The following is a 20541-nucleotide window of genomic DNA, read 5'->3' as shown; positions in this document are numbered from 1 at the left end:
AAAGTGACCTTATCCAGCAGACATCAATGACAGCCAGAAAGGAAACATAAATGGAACTCAAGTGAAGAACCAAGGTCATTGTTTCAGCAGTGCCTAGAAATAAGAATCCATGTCTATGACTATCCAGGCTAATGGAACTCCATTAAGCTACCAGGACCGTCCCACAGTAATTACCAGTCCCCATGTAAAGGGGACACTTCCATGCTGTCTTGATCCTTGATATCCAAAAGTGTGGTCCTTAGGCCAGCAGCTATGGCATCCCTTAGAAGCTTATTAGAAGCCCTGAATCCAAATCTGCATTCTAACAGATCCCTAGGTAATTCATGTGCACATGGAAGTTTGAGAAGCATGTTTCAGAACATAATCTCAATTCATGGTTTTTCTTCTGAACCTCTCTCTTCAATACATTTCTCCCATCTCATTCTGTTTGGCTTTAGACCCTCCTAGATGCCAGCCTTGCCTCTTGTTCTTCCATTTGCCATCTGATCAGCATAATGCTGCTTATCTAGTTATTGAATTTCTTGTGGTTCCTTCAGCATGCTAAGGTCTTCCTCCCTATTCACTCAGGCTCTCCTTATGCCTGGAACCCTTTCCACATCCACCCACCCTCACTCACTTTATTTGTTTCATTCTTTGGATCTCAGTTTAGACATCCCTTCTGATAACAAGCCTTTGTAACTTCTCTGGTCTGGGTTTGTATCATTCTCATCTGTTTCCATAGCACCCAATACTTCTCCTCCCCTAGTAGTCATCAAGCTGTACCATGATTTTTAGTTTGCCTGCCCATACTCCCTCTAGACTGGAAGCTTAGTGAATCCAAAATGCTTATCTCTACACCTAAGCACCCAGCACGCTACTTGAAGGTGAGTAGGCTTCTATAAATATTTGGTATATAAATAGGTGAATGAATGATATACCCAACTAAAGTTGTACATTTCACTCAGTCAAGAATCAGGCTAAACTCAACTTCAGCTTAGGAAAAAAGATTTCTTTAAATTTATCTACAAGAGTTAGCTGAGAGTCTGGGCTCCTCTAAAAGCTGGACTTTTCTTTCCTTCCCTCCCTTGATTTAGCCCATTTGATACCATCACACTGTCAGGAATCCTTTGTCCAAGCTTACCTCTTTGCAGCCCCTTTGCCTAGAGTCCAGTGTTCTTTTACCTTCCCATGCTACATCTCCTTCCTACCCTAGGCATATTTGTGTCTTTAATTATGCCACTGCCTCTTCCTCACCAGTACAAGGCCACTAACAGCTAACCGGGCAGAGGTCAGGACTTTCTCCATTTAAGAAGACGAACTTCCACCAAGCCCTCATCTCTCCCAGGTGGTGCCCCACGCAGCTTGGAGCAGGCATTAGTGAGCAAAGCTATGGGAGTAGGTCTTCTGAGGTCTCCAGATGGGATAGGGTTAACCAGCTTATGCAGGAAATGAGCCACAAAAAAAATGTTTTAACAACTGTGTCAAGCAATCACAAGGAAAAGTCATCTCGGATAATGAATAACCACAAGCAGCATTGCTGTGACGAAGCAGACAAGTATAGTAGACCCATATGAATTGCAGATCCCATTAAGTCCTCACAGTCTCCAATGCTGAGAAAAGGTTATGTGATTATGATGAATTCAGAATATCTGAGAAATAGCTTAGAACTGTGGCCTGCCCCATACACTTGTTTTCTCCCATTATTAAGTCCAAGCATTATCATTCTTCACTTTGCTCCAGAATAAATTTACGATAAAAATTACCTGCTCTTGCATTTTTAACCAGCCAGTTAGGTTTTGCTATTTGGCACACCACAATATTTTTTAGATGGGAACTACTGTTTTGATGAAGTACAGTGAATTCAGGCTTTGAAGCTGGCTCAGCCACCTGGAACTGTGTGATTAAACCCGTTCAAACCTCAGTGCCCTAGGCTGTAAAATGGGGATATTAATACTTACCTTAAATGGTCAGTGTTGAAAACCAAACTAGAATCTACATGTAAAATATGCCTGGCACAGGGACTACCACCTAGGAGATACTCACAATGGGAGTTTCTTTTACTTTCTTTAACCACCAGAGATGACAAGACAGCCTTTAGTGCTTTCATAGAGATAGGACTCAATCTCACACCTGGTGTCATGAAAACATTCTATCAGAGACTGAGAGTTTTATTCCAAAGAAGGTTTGACTGTCAAATCACTGCTGAGGACAGCCTGAGGTAAAAGCTAAGGGCTAGTGACATCCCTGTAGAAGACAAAGGCCCATGGCTCCTGCTCTCCTCTCTCCATTTAAGGACAATCATTAGTGACATCCCTGTAAAAGACAAAGGCCCATGGCTCCTGCTCTCTTCCCTCCATTTAAGGACAATCATTGATATTTTACTTTTAGTTCCAGCAGTGACTTACTCCTGGCATCAATACATGAAACAAAACATGTAACTCAAGCCTGGCATGTTGGCTCACACCTATAATCCCAGCACTTCAGGAGGCTAAAGTGGGAGGATTGCTTGAGGCCAGGAGTTTGAGACCAGCCTGGGCAACAAAACAAGACCCCATCTCTACAAAAAAAATTTTTTTTTAATTAGGCAGGGGAGGTGGTGCTCACCTGGGCTCCCAGCTACTCAGGAGGCTGAGGTTGGGAAGACCACTTGAACCCAGGAGTGGGAGGCTGCAGTGAACTATGATCACACACTGCACTCCAGCCTGGGCAAGAGTGAGACCCTGTCTCTAAAAATAAAAATAAACAAATAAAAAATGTTGCGACTCAAAATACCAGTTACTGTGAGTAAAATATATTGTGCCCCCACCCCAACAAGTTCACACATATAAATTGTCACAATCTGCTTAGACATTTATTGAGTGTGAAACACTAGCGAGATCTTGTGGATAATCAGACCGTCCTACGTATTGAGGTGGTGCAGACAACAGGAACATGCCAGCCTCTGAGAGAACTGAGTAATAAAAGGAGACAGTCCAGAATGTGTGTCACCTCTCCCTGTGTTCAGGAGCCTTCTGTGTACATTTAGATTTTTAGGATATCCAAAGTGTCACAGATATCACAAGTATCTGATAGTTTTAACCAAATTAACATGTCCACAGAGGCAAACAAATAGACTACATTATTTTCCCTGTATTCTGCCTGAATTTATTTATTAATTGCTTGCTTGTGTTGGCATTGGGTAGACGAAACCTTAGAAAACTATTAACACAAGCAAACCATGTTCAAAAAATTAGTCTATCTGTGCCAGGCACAAATCCCTCTAATTCTGCCCTCAGGTTTTGTGGATAGAGTTCAAAAGAAGTCAATAAGATTGACTCAAATAAATTATATGTGCAAATGAGCAAGAAGCAGTTACACTTTAAAATGCCTTGTGCTAAGTATCCATCCATAGGGTCATTAAGGAATTTAAGAATTTTCATCATTAGTTCTGATATATTGGAGAGGTTCAAATGCTGCTTTGTCAGCCAAGTCCTTCCCAGACTGACCAAGCCTCTGTGAGTAGGGCAGGATCCTAGCCCCACCTCCCAGCCTCCTGCTGACTCTGCCTGGAAGACTGCTCCAGAAGCACCTTCGAGAACTGGGGGTTCCATGTGAGGGAAGGAGGAGACCCCAGGGCAAGTGTGTGCCCTGCCTGTCATTCACAGGCTTCCCCTCCTTTTAGAGGAACCTGGTCACTCGCACCACATTTCCTACAGTGGCTGAAACATTTCACTGCACTTTCTTGAAGCTGTTTTAAATGCCACAAGTCGAAGTGAAAGCATGTGTGTTAACAAGTATTTAAAATGCACTCCTCTCAGGAAGGATTGTGAGCTACCCTTCCTTAACAGATTTCTTCCAATTGCCTTCTTCCTGGCATGAAGCTCATTCTGGCTGCCCAAGGAGATGGAAGTTTCCACTGGAGAGTCAAAAACATCACTTTAGATTAGGGTGGCTTGGGGAGAACTTGGAGCCAAATGAAGGCCCCAAGTGCCAGTGATGCTGGAGAAAGGGGCAGAGCTAGAGCGAGAGAAAGCCACAGAAAGTTAGGGAGTGGGCAAGAGGCTGAACACCCGCTGAACACATTGCCTGGGATTGACCCTTTGCCTAGGGAAGCCGAAGGAGATTTTCTTCAACTGTCCTTAGAACTCACATTCTTACTCTAACTATGATTTTTGTGCTTTGTCACAGGTGAGTCAATAGGGATAACCTGGGATAGGTGCTCTCCCAGCACCTGCTTCCTCAGCTGTTAAAAAATAGTCTGTGATTCTACAGAGACACATTGCATAGGTTGACGCAGAACCATAGGATAATATAAGCTTCTGTGACACACAGACTCCCAAACTTCAACAGTTTAATCACAGTAGCCATTGCTTTCTGGCTCATGTCACAAGCCAGGGTTGATGTAACAATGGAACTGGGTGGGGTTTGGGGGATGCCCCTCCTACAGGCGGTGATTCAAATATAACAAGGCTGCTTCCATCTTACGACTTCAGAACTCCCTAAGACAAGGATTCTAGAAGTGTGGTCCATGGAGCAGCAGTCTTGGCATCACCTGGCAGCTTGTCAGAAATGCAGCTTCTCAGACCTACCACGAACCTCCTGAGTCAGACACTCTCAGAATAGAGCCCTGAAATCTGGGTGGCGGGAGGGGGCGGCGGGGGGAGGGGGAAAAAAAAAAAAAAAAATTGAAGAAGCCCTTCAGGTGATTTTGATATAGCTTATGTTTGGGAACCACTTCATGATTTGCAGCTGGTGAAAGGAGAAAGAAAGCCAAGGATAAGAAGCTGCTGCTTAAAAGCCTTGGACCAGAAGTGACTCACACCATTTCTGCTCTCATTTTACTGGTCAGAACCAGTCACGTGGCTGTACCTAGCTGCAAGAGCTGCTATAGAAAATATAGTTTATGAAGTTATAACAGTACATCATGGAATATATAAGAATAGATTTTGGTGGATAGATAGCCATATTTGCCAAAATACCCCTCTGCAGTAGGAATATTGTCATTATTTATAATGTCACATGGGAAAAAGCAATTCCAGATCCAAATTGGAAACTTATGCTAGGTTTCCTCAACCCCAGCAACTATGGACATTTGGGGCAGATAATTCTTTGTTGTGGAGACTGTCTTGAACATTGCAGAATGTTTAACAGCATCCCTGGCTTCTACCAACTGGATAATAGTAGCACCTTTGCCTCCCCACTCCTCCCTCCTACTTTGTGGACAATGAGAACTATCTCCAGACAGTGCCATATATTCCCTAGGGATCAAAATCACTCCAGTTAAAAGAAAACACTGACCTAAACAGAAAATTGATAAATTGATCTTTGGAACACAAGCTGCCCATAAGTTGGGTACTACTCCCAGAATGTTGACTTTCTTCCGATCTATGTTAGCCTTTCTCCTGAAACTCTCTGTTGAAGATTTCAGCTAGTAATGAGGATTATTCTGATTATTCCGCAGTTTACTATTACATCCATCTTACCCACGTAAAAACAAACTTCCAAAGCCAGAGGCATCTATGCTTGTTGACTTCAGAGTTGTGACAGAGCTAATCCTATTTACAATTACCCTTTCTGGCTACCCAGGGCTTCTAAAAACAAACTTCTCTTTACATAAAAATACACAGAAGTTATATCACATTTCTTCTTAGTAGCCTTAAGTTTAAATGATTCAAATTCAGGAAGAGAGACGAGGGAAAGCTCTACTTGTCTAACACAGGCTTAGTTTCCAGAAGAACTCAATTTATTTTTGAATGCAGAAGATTTTCCTACTGAAAACAATCTGTTGGCTTCACTTCCATGTGATAAAATGATGTTGAACTGAAAATGGAACCACGTAGCAAGATTGCATTATCCTGGAACATTTTGAAATCAGACTGGCATTTTTGCTTAAAGTAGGTACACTTTGCAAAGTCACAGGATTCCATTAGGGGTAAAAACGAAATGTAATTCAATTCTAGACCCAAACCAGGGTTTGATTTAACAGATTGATAATAAGACTGTATTAAATCTTTTAAATCAACTTCTTCAGAGTATTTGAAGTGAAAGGGGAAAAAAAGGAATTGCAATGGATTATGTCCCAAATGGAAAGACAGGCAGCAAAATAATGCATCTAAAGGACTTTTCTTTTAAAGGATAGATCCATTTATCAGGGACAGTTCTCATCCCTGTCCATCTACTGCTCATTTTCTTTTGGGTTCCAATTGTACTTTTTTTTTTTTTTTGAGATGGAGTCTCGCTCTGTCGCCCAGGCTGGAGTGCAGTGGCGCAACCTCAGCTTACTGCAAGCTCTGCCTCCCAGGTTCATGCCATTCTCCTGCCTCAGCCTCCCGAGTACCTGGGACTACAGGCATTCACCACCACGCCCAGCTAATTTTTTGTACTTGTAGTAGAGACGGGGTTTCACCGTGTTAGCCAGGATGGTCTCGATCTCCTGACCTCGTGATCCACCCGCCTTGGCCTCCCAAAGTGCTGGGATTACAGGCATGAGCCACTGCACCCGGCCTCTAATTGTACTTTTAAACACAAAAATGACCTCCTCTTATCCATTCACTTATGGATTCATCCATTGCTTGCAGAGCACCTACCCTATAAGAGGTGCCATCTAGCTCTGGAAATGCCACAGCAGAGGCAGCAAACCAGAGGTCAGCTCTTACCAAGCGTACTTTCCAGCACAGAAAGACAGATCTTAAAGACCAGAATATAAACAAGATCATTTCCGATGGTGATCAGTGCAATGAAAAACAAACGGCCAGGCACAGTGGCTCACGCCTGTAATCCCAGCACTTTGGGAGGCCGAGGCGGGTAGATCACAGAGTCAGGAAATCGAAACCATCCTGACCAACATGGTGAAACCCTGTCTCTACTAAAATACAAAAAAAAAAAAAAAATGAGCCAGGTGTGGTAGTGTTTGCCTGTAGTCCCAGCTACTCAGGAGGCTGAGGCAAGGGAATCACTTGAACCCAGGAGGCGGAGGTTACAGTGAGCTGAGATCGTGCCACTGCACTCCAGCCTGGGCAACAGAGCAAGACTCTGTCTCAAAAAAAAAAAAAAAAACCTGGGTGAAGGTGAGAGCACTTAGGTCTGATGGTCAGGGCAGCCTTTCTGAGGACTGAGATGATGGGCACAGCCAAGGGATGACTCAGGGGAGCACTGCAGGTGGGAAAAGCTGCAAGTACAAAGGCCTCAAGGCAAGAACAAACCTGGTTCAAAATAAACTTCATCTTCCTACATTTTTCAAGCTTCCAACTATCCTCATATCTTTCTACTCTCTTCAGTAAAAGATCCTAACCTTTCCCCTGAACTCCACACTCATATCTAATCACTCACTCAGCCTCTCTGCTTGGAAGACTAATAGGCAGCTCAGATGTAATAAAGCGGGAACACAACCCTTGATCGCCCTTATACACCCAGACATGCTCTTCCCCTGGGCTTCCCCAATTCTTCCAGGGCTGAGTTCTCCTCTCATACCCCTCATCTGACCCATCAACAAACATCAACCTTTGACATACATTCAGCACCTGCCGTGCTATCATCAGTGGTCTGATCTGCATTCACTTCTCGCCTGGACTAACAAGGCAGCCTCCTCACTGGCCTCCTATCAGCAACCTGTTTTCCTATCAGAGTCAGAGTTTTTAAGCATAGAACAGATCCTATCACTATCTTGCATTAAAACCTTCCTAAAGTTTACTATCTCAAAATAAAATTCAAAAGCCTTGCTATTCAAAAGCCCAGTATGATTTGGCTATGTCACCTCTCTGGCATTATCTCCTTCCACTGCCTCCCAGCTCCACCCTGTTTATCCTGCTCCCATCACACCAGCCTCCTTGCCACAGCTTAAGCACACCAGGCATTGGCCTGCCTCAGGATTTTGCACCTACTATTCCCGAAGCCTAGAATGATTTTCCTCCAGATACCCAGATGGCTTCTCCCTCTATTAGGTTCTCTGCTCAAATGTCACCTAACCAGAGAGGCTTTCCTAACCATGCTAACATCCCTCCCCTCACATATAAATACTCTCTGTCCCCTTACCCTACTTTGGTTTTCTTCATACCACCTGACATAATCAACCTAGAAACACCTTTAAATTAAGGTCTTGTTTGCCACTATCACCTGGAGCCTGAATGAATTAATCAGTGAATGAATATATGAATATCACCATCCCATATCTAGAGGGCCTGAAACCACTACAGTAGTTCGATTTGAAAGCATTTACAGAGTTTTGTGTTCTGGGTATTATGAAAGACATAAGAACTATGTAAGGAGATATAACTCCAAACTTCTAAAAAATTGGGAGTCGGAGAAAAAGACCACATTAAAGTACTGATTCATTTCAGACTATGATTTAATAATACAAGTGGCATGGGCAGTATGTTTCATTAGATTTCTAAGAAAGAGAGAACAAAGTGGACTAAAGTATTCCAGGAAAACTTCATAGGAGTGGGATGAGGGAAGAAAGATCGTTCAAATGGGTGAAGTTTGGAGAAGCACAAAGGAAAGGCAGAAATCCAGCACTGAAGCAAGAAATTAATGGTGAGGCCATGGCACAGAGGTGGGGATAACAGTCATTTATGGGAGGAGAGAAACCTGCCTTGCTTATGGAAGTTCTCAATGGAGAAGAGGAAGTAAACAGGAAAAGTAGGGTGGGGTTCTGAGTGAGAGGTATCTCTGGGCTGTGGGAAGCTACTGGGTTCTTCTTGCTGAGTTGAATCGTGACCTCATAAAGCTAGGTTTTGAGGAAGCTGTTCTGAGGAACATCAACAAGATGGACTGGAAGAAGAAGAGAATAGAGGCTTGAGGCCAAGACCAGAGAGTGGTTCGGGGCACAGGCAGGTTGTGAGATGGGTCTTAGGCCAAGGTGGTGCAGTGGGAAATGAGAGGAGCTGGGCTCTCATATACCTCGTCCTCTGCTGCATCAGAATCTCTAGTCGGGATGCTGGCGTGAGTGACTACATATATTTTTAAGTTCCACGTGATTCTGATGTGCACTTCTAGTGAAAAAAAAAAAAACACAAGTCTAGTTGTAAACCTCCATTTGGAGATGAGGTAACAGAAATCTAGATGAGGTAACCTGCTTATGGTCATGCAGCCTGTGGGGCAGGCCTGAGGGCAGATACCAGAACTCTTGACTCTCAAAATAAGGTTTTAAAGGATCTCAATAAATAATAACAAGGCAGAAACTGAACTTGTAGAAACTATTCTGAAACCATTACATTAATCTAGGAGGTATCAATCACTTTTCCGTATGTAACCAGACATTATTGAAGAATCAGAAAATTCATCCATTCATTGATTTGTTGGACAAATCGTTATTGAGTGCCTACTGTGTGCTTAGTATTGCTTTAGATGTCACAGCTAAACAGAACTGGCCAATTGCAAGGTACAGTAATAAGGGCTCTGATAGGGCAAACAGGGATTGTGTTAGGAATATAACCCAGCCTAACCCAGACCCAGATGTCAGAGAAGGCTTTGTGGAGAAAACAGTGTCTCATTTGAGCTCTGAAGACAACTTGGAATTCAGTGAAGTTTTGATGAGGGTTATAGGAGAAAAGAACTGAGAAAATTTAGATGAGAAAAAAAGATTTGGGCATAGAAAATTATGTACACAAAGGTCTCTTTTGCCTCACCATTTATTTCAGTGCCTTAAATGCTGCACATCAGTTCATGACGATGCTCACGATTTGGGCCCTCATGAGGTATAGCAATCTTTTTCCTCATCAAACTATACTTTCAAAGTATCCTCTTTTGCATCTCTAATACACCTTCTTACAGTTTACCTTTTAAAAGAGTCATGTTTGTAGGACCATGAACACTGGAACAGAGCAGCCAAACTGTCATTCTTGTACTGTGTCTGGGATAAAGCTTAGCATATAGTGAGTGCTCAGGAAATGCTTTTAGTTTATTGCTTTGCACCTTAAATCAAGATGCCCTAAGAAATATTTATATTCCTGTGATTTAAGTTTAGTTATGTCTGACCTTCACCTATTCAGAACACATTTGCAAATTTGTAATTGATTAAAGGCTTCACTTTTGCCCTTTGAAGATAAACAGGAAGCTGCACATTTTCTGCAGCACGAGTGCTTGCTAGAAAGCTTTCCTTGGTTCAATAGTTTTCTATTGTTATGAATAGAACATCAACATAATTAACATAAGAATCCCTTAGAGGGCAATTTTAAATGAAACCACATTTAATTGCAGGTAATTCCTTTATTCCCCAAGGTGATGCTAAATTTCCAACTGGGCATATGAAATATGTCAAAATCTCTGCAAAGTAAACCCATTTAAAATGAAATGGTATAGTCTGTCGACCCTCAAAAGTATAAAATTATTTTGATTAGTTGGCCAAAACAAAAAGAAAAAGAAAGATAAAACCCAAAGACTCAAACTCAGAGTATTCATAAAACAATACAAAACACAAGTTTTGACAAGTTCTAGATTTCTTGAGTTTTTAAGAGAAATGGTGTGTGTTTTTTGGAAATAATGTTTGGCTAAAAAGAAAATCCTAAGTCAATATTCATTTTTCATTTTTAGTATTTTGCTGGTACCCTAATAATCTATTTCAATCCTAAAATCCTCTATTGCCCAAAACCATAGCATTAAGAAGATAGGATCAATATGTCCAGAGCCTCCACATAGGAGGTAATCAATACACACACTTTAAATGAATCAATGAATGAAGCATTGGTTTCACATTTATCTAGGCTCCAAATGTATGATAAGCAACTTCAGAGTCACAAAGGATGGGTAGGACATAGACAATAGTCCACCTCATCTGGAGTTCTACATTAGCTTCACTTTGTCCACCCGGCAGCCTCACCATTCTCAGCCCCGTGCTTCCAGTGCCGCAGTGCCGTGCGTGCCACATGTTACCAGGGCTATGGACAGATGATCCCATCTCTAAGAACACCCTGTATCTATGTTTTCTTAGGTGGTTATAACATTGAGAAGGCATCCTCTTTTCAACATCTTGGGGTTTGGCCCCGATTAACAATGTTTCTCAACCTGCCACGAGATAGTGGCTGTACTTTTCCATTTGTTTCTGAAATCTCTGCATTGCATCTCCTGTAAATATAGATGTTCTATATATAGATATAGATTTTTTCAAAAGTCAGTATAACATATATTTGAGTATATTTTTAAACCAAGAATTGCTCATGTATAGATAATTTAGATTTAAGAGCATAGTTGCCCTAGTTTAACATAATAACAATACATTATTAAACATTCTTAGTAAGATTAATGATTGCTTACCTCCTTGCCCTTAATATCCAGCATGAAATAGTTGATACTAGGCATCTTATTGCAAGTTTTAATTTGTATTCTAGTTTCTCGTCTTTGTCACAGAGACACAAAGTTAAAAAACTACAAATATTTATATCAATGAGAACTATTAATACTTAGCAACTGATTGTCTAATACTTCTAATGTTACGTACTTTGCCATGGTGCTGCTTTATGGACATTTCTATCACTATGAGCTTGAGGAAAGGAGAAATTTGAAAGTTCACTTTCTTTTTCTTTTCTTTTTTTTTTTTTTGAGCCAGAATTTCGCTCTTGTTGCCCAGGCTGGAGTACAATGGCGCGATCTTGGCTCACTGAAACCTCCGCCTCCCAGGTTCAAGTGATTCTCCTGCCTCAGCCTCCATAGTAGCTGGGATTACAGGCATCCACCATCACACCCAGCTAATTTTTTGTATTTTTAGTAGAGGCAGGGTTTTACTATGTTGGCCAGGCTGGTCTCAAATTCCTGACCTCAGGTAATCCACCACCCGCCTCAGCCTCCCAAAGTGCTGAGATTACAGGTGTGAGCCACCCCTCCCCCAGCCGGAAAGTTCACTTTCTATCTCCAATCTTGTACTATGATTAAACACTGCTAGAAGCTTTACCATGACCTATAAATTCTCTCCTCAGATACAGAAGTCTATTGTACGACTGTTTCCTTGAGTTCTCATTCCCTAATGATCCCATTTGTATTTCCTGGTGAGAACACTATTAAAATAGTCACCAGTATTAAGGGTTATTAATATCCCCACTCTTATCCCCAGCTGGGTATGAATGCACAAATACTTCTGGTGGGGCCTTTTTTTCTTGAGTACAGCCATCTCAAGTGTTCAGAATTTCTGATGTGTAAGAACTTTTTTATTAATATCTACTTCAAATGTTATCTTCCTTATCTATAGGCCATTTCCATGTCTACGTGGAGATTTAGAATAATTTCCTTCCTCCATTACATTTTGTTCCTTGAAGGTATTTTATAATCAGAGTGCATGTTCTTCTCTCTTTCGGAGATTTCCTTGTTTCAGGCAAAACATATTAAGTCTCTCTAGTCGAATCCTGTGGCTCTTGTGTTATGCCACTTGTCTCTTGAATAGTCTCAGCATGGAGGTAAGAAAGGAGCGTTATATTCTAAGTTGAGAACCTAGAAACAAAAACCAGGATGGTTATAGTTTTTCTCATTCTGCCCTGTGTCTACTTTTTAAAATTCCTTTAATGTACGAATACAGATTTAGAAATTTAGAAACCTAGATGCTATAATAAATATTATAAAAAGTGGATCATTGAGATTTTATATGTATGATTCAAACCTTTCAACAAAAATAACCAAATCACTACCTCTTTGGCTTATACTAGGTGTCGTTATAAATCTTTATTTGTCCTATTGCACAATATAACAGGGACTATAAATGTCTTGCATGTCGTGTGTTACCCAAGAGAGACCTTCCATTTTAGCTCCTTTCCTTTGCTAGTTGTGCTTTTATTTACTCTTCTTCCAAGTCTATATTTCTATTTTTATTAGTGTCATCACGTTTCGATTTCAAGTTCTAGTATTTGTTTTTTGTTTGTTTGTTTGTTTGTTTGAGATGAAGTCTCACTCTGTCATGCAGGCTGCAGTGCAATGGCACGATCTCAGCTCACTGCAACCTCCACCTCCCAGGTTCAAGCAATTCTCCTGCTTCAGCCTCCCAAGTAATTGGGACTATAGGTGTGCGCCACTATGCCCAGCTAATTTTTGTATTTTTAGTAGAGATGGGGTTTCACCATGTTGGCCAGGCTGGTCTCAAACTCCTGACCTCATGATCTGCCCACCTCGGCCTCCCGAAGTGCTGGGATTACAGGCGTGAACCACCATGCCCAGCCCTTCATCTTTAATACTTCTTGCAAATATATTTAATATGGATTCATAAAAATGCAATTAGCATAATATTACAAAAGAAAAAGTAAAATAAGAAAAAACAGGTTTTAATATACTAGTTTAGATTATAGATTTTGTAAAACTATGTAATCATTCTGGAGTAATTTTAAATGTCATTTAATTATTTAATTTTCAGTGGTCCATAAGCTTAGTTTTCTTTGTTGTCTGACACATTTGATTTTTAAAAAGTAATTGTTCCCAGAAAGTTTCTTTTGTATATACAGCCAATATTATTCTAAAATTTTATGGAAATGCAAAATAACTAGAATAGCTAAAACAATTTTGAAAACAAGAAATAAGGTGGGCAGAATCACTCTACCCAATGTTAAGGCTTATTATATAGCTACAGTAATTAAGACAGTGTGCTATTAGAAGAAGGACAGACACATAGATCAATGGAACAAAGTACAGAACTGAGAAATAGACCTACACAAATATACCCAGCTGGTTTTTGATGGAGTTCCAAAAGCAATTCAATGAAGAAGTTAAATCACCAATCTGCCAAGGAGGCAGAGAAATTGGATGACTTATATATTGCTGGTAGGAATGTAAAATGTTACAGCCACTCTGGAAAACAATTGAGTGATTTCTTAAAAACCTAAATATGCAAATACTATACTACCTAGTGATTGTACTCCTGGGCATATATCTCAGGGAAATGAAAACTTACGTTCACACAATAATCTGTATGTAAATTTTAGCATCCTTTCTTGTAATAACCAAAAACTGAAAACAACTCAGATACCCTTCAACAGACGTGTGGTTAAACAAACTGTAGAACACCCAGACTGTGGAATATTACTCAGTAATAAAAAGGAACAACTGTCAATAATTCAGCAACCTGAATGATTATCCAGCAACTTTTGCTGGGTTAAAAAAAGGCAATTCCAAGAGACTATATACTGCATGGTTCCATTTATATAACTGTCTTGAAATGACAAAAATCATCCTAACAGAGAATAGATTACTGGTTGTTAGGAATTAAGGAGTGAGTATGTGGGAGGGAAGTAGGTGTGGTTATAAAAGGGCAATGTGAAGGATCCTTGTGGTGATGGAAATGTTTCTGTCTCTCTCTCTCTCTCTCTCTCTCTCTCTCTTTAGAGCCAGGGACTTATTCTGTCACTCAGACTGATGGCATAATCCTAGCTCATTGCAGCCTTGAACTCCTGGGCTTAAGTGATCCTTTCGAGTAGCTGGGACTAAAGACACATGCCACCATGCCTGGCTAATTTAAAAAAAAATCTGTAGAGACAGGGTCTTGCTTTGTTGCCCAGGCTGGTCTCGAATGCCTGACTTCATGTGATTTTCCCACTTCAACTTCCCAAAGTGCTGAGATTACAAGTGTGAGCCACTGCACCCAGCCAGAAATGTTCTTTATCTTGACTGGATCAATGTCAATATTCTGGTTGACATATTGAGCTATAGTTTTGCATGATATCATTGAGGGGAAACTGAAGAAATAGTACACAGTGTCTTTCTGTTTTATTTCTTACAACTCTTTATGAATCTATAATTATCTCAAAATAAAAAGATTAATTTAAAAAAATTGTGTCAGCAAATTGTAAAGATGAATCCATTGAAATGAAAAAGACACCTGCAAGGCATTTATTTTCTCCTTTGGTTTTTCCTGCAAGGTTTGCGAGGAGCGATCGCATTTGCCTTAGCTATTCGGAACACAGAATCTCAGCCCAAACAAATGATGTTTACCACTACGCTGCTCCTCGTGTTCTTCACTGTCTGGGTATTTGGAGGAGGAACAACCCCCATGTTGACTTGGCTTCAGATCAGGTGAGTGACACCGTCTAGCAAAGGAAATCATTATGAGGCATGGCTGCGCTGTTCAATTTCTGGTATTGCTGACTTAGTCAATAGTACAGTGGCAGGTCCTACCCTAACTTTCCCAGCAGTCAAGTTGACCTTCACTCATAAGGTGAAACAATATGACATAGTACCAACCACACTGACTTTTCCAGGAGGCTTCCAAATCCTAGGATGATGTCTGTTTATAGTCTGTCCCTAGAAATTTATTTATTCATCTATCAATTCTTCCATTCAACAATCTGTATTCAGTACAATGTGGTATACTGTGGAGTTTACAAAAATAAGACACAGGTCTTGTCCTCAAGATACAATCCAGTAGGACTGATACAGAGAAATCTATAATACAAAGGATAAAGTGAATTTATTGTTTTTTAATTCCTCACCGCACTTACAACAGAAACAGGGACATAGGAAATGCTTAAACATACTTGCTTAGTGAGCCATATGCTTAGCCAGAGGGATGCTATAGACACAAGTTAGACACTTTCATACAGGAAAAGGGGATAAAGGCTTCAGTCAGTGGCCCTCCAATAAGCAGTTCTGGAAGATGATTGCTATAAACCTGAAGTATGGGAGGAGCAGACAATTTGACAGAAACGGGTAGCTGGTGTCAATTGTGAAAAGGGGTAAATCTATTTTAAAGTGTGGCTGTCTTTGTTTAATGTTCTTGTGACCTGGGTCCTCATTTTCATATCCCAGAAGGTAATAACAGTGCTTTAGGCAAATCACATTTTATTTATCAAATCTATACATTTTGATGATCATGCAGTCCCTTCCTGACTCCTACCTATTATCTATAAGACAGATTTATACCTACTGCCTTCAACACGTAAAGATCCATCTGACTAGAAAAGGACTTCCAAGAAGATTCTTACAGTCAAGAGTCTGTTATTACAGCACCTAGTATAGTGCCTGGCACATAGTAGGATTGAATACATAATTCATGAAAAGTTAAATGAATACAACCACAAATGTAAACACTTTCATTAACCATTCACTGCAGGTCTCACAAGTTTAGTATAAGAAACCTTATGCTCAAACCAGGCCAACTGGTTATGCATTAAACCAAATTCAAGGAAAAAAAGGACTTCCTGAAGTACTGAGAATATTGCTAAACACATAAAAAGGCTTTGACTAAAGGTGAATAGGGAGTGTTTTCAAATGCTTCTTGAATTACTTCCTAGGCACATAAATGTGACTTGCAATTTCTTTCACAGTGGTGGTTACCTGTAGGCTCCCATGGATGAGTACACAGATTGCATTAAACTCTATAACACTGAGTCTCCTGTGAACTGTTAGTAAGACGGTGGTGTGTTTAGGTTTCTGGAAAACAAAATTCAATAGGTAGATCCTTGCATGGAAAAATTAGGGCTTGGAAACCAAGTTAGAGGATGCTGGTCCCCACAAAATGCAAGTACTGAATACACTATTAGGTGAGTTCAAATATTCAGAACATAAAGTAGTGATGTCAGGATTTCCTTAAAGCAATAAAATATAATTTGTTTTCTACTATTTCTTTTTCTACCCCAAAAGAAGTTGTCCCCAAATCAGTAACATGTTTTATCCTAAAGTATTTACCTAACTCCCTTAAAGTGTTTTCCAAAAGCATCCACTGACTTCAAATAGGTGTCATAACTTATGCAGCCCCTTAATATCTGGTCCAGCAGGGAGAGGGGAGTATTATAGTGGGGCTTTAAACAGGTTAGGACAGTTATCCAGGTTATAGGACAAAGCCTAGTAAGAAAGGAGAGATACTGATGTGAACCATAGTGTCCAGGGGTGAAGTGCCTGGTAGTCAGCCTGGCCAGTGTTATGGCAGTCTTCCAGGGGGCACAGCATGGGGCAGCCAGGTCATGGCGATGCCCCAGCAGGAACCGGCTCCAAATGGCCCAACCAATTCAGTGCCAGACTTGGCCACCAGCCAGGAGGGAGATGAGTAAAGGCAGGACTGTGATGTGTTTAGGGAATTGAGCTGACAGGGTTCCAGTCTAGTGAGCAAGTTGATGATCTCAGCTGGGAACTAGAGTATAAATCTGACATCAGGGCAGAAACCCAAAGAGACCAGAGACCCAATCATGAGAAAACTAAAGGGGAAAAACTGAAGTTCATAGATTTGTGGGCACCCAGGAAGTAAACCCAGACAGATAGATACAGGGCAGAAAAAGTTAAGACCAATGGCTCTCAAACTTGAATGAACATCAGAACCACTTAGAGGGCTCATTAAAACCCAGATTGCTAAGCCCCAGCCCAAGTTTCTCATCCAGTAGGTCTTGGTCAAGGCCTGAGAATTTGTATTTCTACCACATCCAGGAAATGCCTCTGTTGCTGGTCCCAGGGCCACATTTTGAGAATCGCTGGTTTAGACTTCCTACCGCTAGTGGAGATGGAGCTAATATTGATACTGTCAGATGTCAGGGTTGCCAAGGGCCAGGCACACCTGAGCCTGCAGTGTAGATTCCTTAGCACCTATACTAAAGGGAGGAGGGGCTCACTTAAAGAGGAAGAGTCACTGTGCACCGATCAGTGGGCAGGAAATAGGACATAATAGAATAAACATTAAAGAATAAAACTATGTCACTGTGTGTATACAAATACACACTAACTTGCAGTGATACCATCATATGCTCCACTTTCCTACCATGGTTTATAATGTTGTCAAAGAAATTCTCAATTCCATTATGGCTTTAAACTCATAGTCACCCATCATTTAGACTCTATTTAGCAAGGCTTTGCTTGTTTACAGAGCTATATCTCGTTAACCAACTTTCTTGTCAGACTCTTCTCCAAAAACACCACGAAGTAAGTAAATTGGAGCTTTAATAAAATCACACAAATGGAGAAACCCAAGAGACACGAAGACAAACGTGATATTGAATGAACCCAAACACCCTCAATTGGAATGTGATTTGTTTATCTACTTTACGTGGCCTTCCCTTCTTGAGTCTATATTTTTTTCTCTGAAATTATTTGATATGTACTTGAATTAGTTTTTTTAATCCCCATAAAATTTGCCATCCAGCTGCAAACTACCACAGTAGGATGCAAAGAAAATGTTTTATATAAAGCAAAAATTGATAGTATTAATATGAATTGCACTTTGATGGAACTGACTTTAAAACAGTAATGATCCTATGTTTAGAGAAACAAATAATGATCTTTATATGTGAACCAAATTTTCCATTGATTGAGTCTTGTCCTAAGCACCATTCAAATTTCTTGTCCTGGAGCTGTTGTATTTTTCTTTTTAAAAATAATCATAAAATGTTTGTAATGCAGCATTGAAAATAAATCAGACCTTTGCTTTTTAAAATTCTGGAGAAAAGGAAAAGACTCCTCCAGCATTATTTTGGAGGTTTTCATGTAAAATAAAGTAGAATGGTTTCTTGATTAAAATCCGGTTCTCCTCCCTTCTGTGGAATACATTAATACTGGCGGTGAGGAAAACCCAACAGGAGTCTCCAAGGACTAGCTCTGCTGTTACCCAGGAAACAAAAAAGACCAAAGGTGTTAGGCTTTGCCCTACAAAAGCCAGTAAACAAGATTATCGACCAAATGGTTGCACATGCTTACAAATAAACATTAAAGACCACAGGGCAGAGCTCTCTGGCAGTGGCACCAGATAATAAGCTTCAAGATGGTAACCCCATTCTTGGCTTAGGGTAGAGCACCGCATGGAGCCAAGAAACTTTCAGCAAATAGCTCATGAGAATGGAGCCCATACCACAGTGCAAACCTTCCCCGGGCTCCCCAGATGAGAATGTAGGACCCATCTCTTCACAATATCTGAATCACAGTGTGGAAGGCCTTGAATGCCAGACTAACACAGAACTTGTCTCCCAGCTGACATTAGAAAAGTGCCCTCAACAAGATAACCTTTACAGCTTCCAAATTTTGACCTCTAAACACTCTACCAATAATAACTGACTTGTATTGAGTGCTTACTCTGTGCCAGATATCAGATAATAAAATGCAAAGTATATAACCTCCTTGTGACTCAGCTTCTAATCTATAAAATGGGGATGATGATAGTAGCCGCTTCCCAGGGTGGTTGACAACTGCCACCGTGGCCCATGGTTACACCACCGCCAGGCTGCAGAATCAGGCTCCAATCTGGGGAGCCTAAGCCTAGGGCCTGCACACTCAACTAGTGCATTCTTCTGGCACCCTGAATAAATGAGCTTATTCTCAATGCCTGCAATCTACCCTGATTAACAAATCCTTTGAAGAAAGAAATGTACTTTTTAAACCAAGACAGGCCTGTTAAAAACAAACACAGGAAATCTTCATCCATCACAAGTGATTGGGCTGACTGGCTCATACAACACAGAAATTCTTCAGTGCAGGTTTTCTTTTTGACCTGGGACAGTTACGGGTAAATAAAATGAGATTAGTCCAAAGTAGCCAAGTGGAGAAGATTGTCTTCCTCAATTACAGGAATTTAGAATTACGGTACTTATAGGAATTTGTTACCCTCATGCTCATCTCCCAACCCTATTCAGGATCCCAAACTATCCTGCCGTCAGCCTCTTCCCCAAATCAGTAAAAAAATTTGTTAGCATACATTGACTTACGTCTATTGCAGAGTGAGTAACTTTTAGATAGTGCAATCCTTCTACTATTAATTTTTTTTTTTGAGAGTGTCTTGCTCTCTCACCGAGGGTGGAGTGCAGTGGCTCAATCATAGCTCCCCACAGCCTTGATCTGCTGGGCTCAAGTGATCCTCCTGCCTCAGCCTCTCAAGTAGCTGAGACTACAGGTGTGCACCACCATGCCCAGCTAATCTTTTTAAAATTATTTTTAGCAGAGATGAGGTCTCATTACATTGCCCAAGCTGATCTCAAACTCCTGAGCTCAAGCAATCCTCCAACCCCAAACTTCCGAAGTGCTGGCATTACAGGCATGAGCCACCACACCAGCCCACAATCAATATTTTACTTAAATATTTATATTCAATTTTTGGTTTATGACCAAAAGCCATCCTCAAATGATTTATTTATCATTTATACCCATTGGCTACAAAGTTTTAAGATAACAGCCATCACAAATATGTATACAAAGATAAAAAGAGAACTGTCCTTAGTAATATCTTTAAGTCTTAAATAATAGCAGAGTTAAATATATCTGCTTCCATACAGACTTCCTTGATTACTGAGGTGAGGAAATGTTAATTTAATACAATGGAGGAATATATATAATTAAGTTATCTTAATATTGATTGTGTTCTGTTTGGTTTTCTTTCTAGCATTCAAAGTTTCATGTGGGTTTAACAGTTTGCTTCATTGTTATATTAATGTAGTCTATCAATACACACATATACTGTGGAGTTAGACTGAGCAGGTCCTAATTGTGCCTCCCTCTCTTAAAGCTGTAGGATTTTGAGCAATAAATTTAATGTCTTTATTCCTCAAATTTCTTAATCTGTAAAATTGGAATAATGATATCTACCCCTTTCGAACATTATAAGGATTGAGCATTCTGTGTGTACAGAATTTAGGGCACACAGTAAGTGCTCAACAAATATTGCTATAACAGTACCAGAGGATACCTATGAGCCTTTTCTTACCCAAATAC

General features: G+C 40.5%; 1 protein-coding gene across 4 annotated transcripts in view, besides 1 other annotated feature; it reads left to right on the top strand.

Moving 5' to 3' along the window:
* Positions 1–20541, top strand: part of SLC9A9 (solute carrier family 9 member A9) — a 583247-nt gene that overhangs the window by 366495 nt on the left and 196211 nt on the right. For all 4 annotated transcript variants that reach the window (XM_017006203.2, NM_173653.4, XM_011512703.4 and 1 more), the window contains one exon: positions 14784–14937. In XM_017006203.2, coding sequence (XP_016861692.1) covers positions 14784–14937 — 154 coding nt within the window. The remainder of the gene's footprint in view (positions 1–14783; positions 14938–20541) is intronic.
* Positions 18408–18577: an enhancer, noted in NCBI's record as "experimental_64869 CRE fragment used in MPRA reporter constructs". NCBI's record gives its function as "activates a minimal promoter by MPRAs in K562 erythroleukemia cells, with activity observed for both the introgressed and non-introgressed 3:143182324 variant alleles {active_cell/tissue: K562}" and the evidence as "EXISTENCE:reporter gene assay evidence [ECO:0000049][PMID:34662402]".

Source organism: Homo sapiens, chromosome 3 (assembly GCF_000001405.40).
Source record: "Homo sapiens chromosome 3, GRCh38.p14 Primary Assembly".
Classification (NCBI taxonomy): Eukaryota; Metazoa; Chordata; class Mammalia; order Primates; family Hominidae; genus Homo; species Homo sapiens.
This window is presented reverse-complemented; position numbering and strand designations above follow the sequence as displayed.